Here is a 2,674-nt window from a genome sequence, read left to right on the forward strand (position 1 = left end):
TGGATCACTTGAGGTCGGGAGTTTGAGACCAGCCTGACCAACATGGAGAAACCCTGTCTCTACTAAAAATACAAAATTATCCCGGCGTGGTGGTGGGTGCCTGTAATCCCAGGTACTCAGGAGGCTGAGGCTTGAGAATCACTTGAACACAGGGGGCAGAGTTTGCAGTGAGCCGAGATGGCACCACTTCACTCCAGCCTAGGGGAAAGAGCTAAACTCTGTCTCAAAAAAAAAGAAAAAAGAAAAAAAAGAAAAGTAATTCACCTGTTTTTCCACTTAGGGACTCTTTCTGTTTTAGGAGGATGAGATTTTTGAATGTTAACTAATGTCCCCCTTTTTTTATATTTTAATTGTGAAACATACGTAGAAGTTCATAAAACAAAATGCACTATTTAAAGGAAAATGAAAAGTTCAAGGAATGGAATGATGCCAGTCTCCTGGTATCCTTTTTCTGACTCGCCACCCAGAGGTAATCATTACCCTGACTTTTATGGCAATAATATCCTTGCTTTTCTTGGTAGTGTTACTGTCCAGCTATAATCTCCTCAGTAAAGTAGTTGTGCCTGTTTTTGAACTTTATGTACATGAACGCATGCTGTATATTCTTTTGTTCAAGGTTATCTGGTTGTTGTGTGGTGTGTGTGTCTATGGCTCATTCATTTTCATTGCTGTGTGGTACTCGACTGAGATGCTCTTTGATATTTTCTCCTGCTCCCTGCCCTTCCCTAATCAAATAGACCTTCTGCCTCCATGTCCCAGGGATGGCAATATAACCACAGAAAATCAAATTAAAATTATTTATTATTATTTCAAAAGCCCACATCCTCACGGATTTAAACGAGATTTATAGCAGGATTTCTCAACCTCCACCCTATTGACGTTAGACCTAATAATTCATTTGTTGTGGGGATGTCCTGTTCAGTGCAGGATGTTTAGCAGCTTCCCTGGGCTCTACCACTAGGTGCCAGTAGCATCCACGGCCCTCCAGTTGTGAGAACCAAAATGTCTCCAGATATTATTGCCAAACATCCCCAGGGAGGCAAAGTCACCCCAGATGAGAGCCACTGTGAGAAGAAGGAAAGGAAAAAATCAGTTGGGGAAAATGCAGACTGCAGAAGCAACCTGCCTGAAAAGTTACAGCAACAGGCAAAAATGAAACAACCTTGGGGAAAAAAAAAAACAAAAAACCTCAGGCTGCACCTGCGCACAGATAAGCAACTTAGTGAGCTCCCAGGAAAAAAGTTTCTTCCCTTTTTTCAGGCATATATACGGTGGAAACTTGCACAGATGGGGAGGGGGCTTACCTAAAACAAACCCACAGTTAATACAAACTAGAAAAGCAGAATTCGTGATGGCCTAGAGACATACCCACGGCTGCGTAACAGAAGGGGAATTGCACAGACAGCTTTACTGATAAGAGAAGTGACTCAAACTGCTAGAGATAAGAGTTTCTGATAAAAGCTTTTGAACTCAGCTGTAACCCCGCAATCCACTCGGAATCCTCTCTCCTCTGCAGAGAGCGTTTTTTCTGTCACTTTTTTTTTCTTTTTCCTTTTTTTTTTTTTTTTTTTTTTGAGATGGAGTCTCTCTCTGTCGCCCAGGCTAGGGTGCAGTGCCGCAGTCTCGGCTCACTGCAAGCTCCGCCCCCCGGGCTCACGCCATTCTCCCGCGTCAGCCTCCCGAGTAGCTGGGACTACAGGCGCCCGCCACCTCGCCCGGCTAATTTTTTTGTTTTTGTTTTTGTATTTTCAGTAGAGACGGGGTTTCACTGTGTTAGCCAGGATGGTCTCGATCTCCTAACTTTGTGATCTGCCCTCCTCGGCCTCCCAAAGTGCTTTTTTTTTTTTTTTTTTTTTGGAGACAAGAGTCTCGCTCTGTTGCCCAGGCTGGAGTGCAGTGGTGCAATCTCGTCTCTACTCCAATAGAAATGTAATTGGTTTTTGTATATTGATCCTGTATCCTGCAAACTTGTACTTGTTACTAGCTCTAATAGGTTTTTTTGGTTTGTCTTTGTGTGTTCTTTGGATTTTCTATATACAAAACCATGTCATCTGCAGATGCAAAGAATTTTGCTTCTTCCTTACCAATCTGGGTTCCCTTTATTTCTTTTTCTTGACTAATTGTTCTGGTTTTATTTTTTTTTTAACAATTTTCTCTTAAGCTTCTCTTCTGCCAAGCCATGGAATCATGTTAGTAGTCAGTTTGGGATCTTCCCTGCTTTCCTGGAGTTGTGTCTAATTTTTTTTTTTTTTTTTTTTTTTTGAGGCAGAGTCTAGCTCTGTCGCCCAGGCTGGAGTGCAGTGGTGCGATCTCGGCGCACTGCAACCGCCGACTCCCGGGTTCAAGCGATTCCCCTGCCTCAGCCTCTGGAGTAGCTGGGATTACAGGCGCCTGCCACCATGCCCAGCTAATTTTTTGTATTTTTTAGTAGAGATGGGGGGCTGGGCGCGGTGGTTCACGCCTGTAATCCCAGCACTTTGGGAGGCTGAGGCGGGCGGATCAGCTGAAGTCAGGAGTTCGAGATCAGCCTGGGCAACACGGTGAAACCCCATCTCTACTAAAAATACAAAATCAGCCGGGCATGGTGACACATGCCTGTAATCCCAGCTACTCAGGAGGCTGAGGCAGGAAATCGCTTGAACCTGGGAGGCGGAGGATGTGGTGAGCCGAGATC

The 2,674-nt window shown here is 44.4% G+C and overlaps 2 annotated features.

The window, feature by feature from the left end:
• Window positions 1,041-1,180: an enhancer, noted in NCBI's record as "active region_28632". NCBI's record gives its function as "activates an Ori minimal core promoter by ATAC-STARR-seq in GM12878 lymphoblastoid cells {active_cell/tissue: GM12878}" and the evidence as "EXISTENCE:reporter gene assay evidence [ECO:0000049][PMID:35858748]".
• Window positions 1,168-1,462: a silencer, noted in NCBI's record as "tiled region #4124; K562 Repressive DNase matched - State 4:PromP". NCBI's record gives its function as "represses a minimal TATA promoter and a strong SV40 promoter by Sharpr-MPRA in K562 cells {active_cell/tissue: K562}" and the evidence as "EXISTENCE:reporter gene assay evidence [ECO:0000049][PMID:27701403]".

This window comes from Homo sapiens, chromosome 9 (assembly GCF_000001405.40).
Source record: "Homo sapiens chromosome 9, GRCh38.p14 Primary Assembly".
In the NCBI taxonomy this organism is placed as follows: domain Eukaryota; kingdom Metazoa; phylum Chordata; class Mammalia; order Primates; family Hominidae; genus Homo; species Homo sapiens.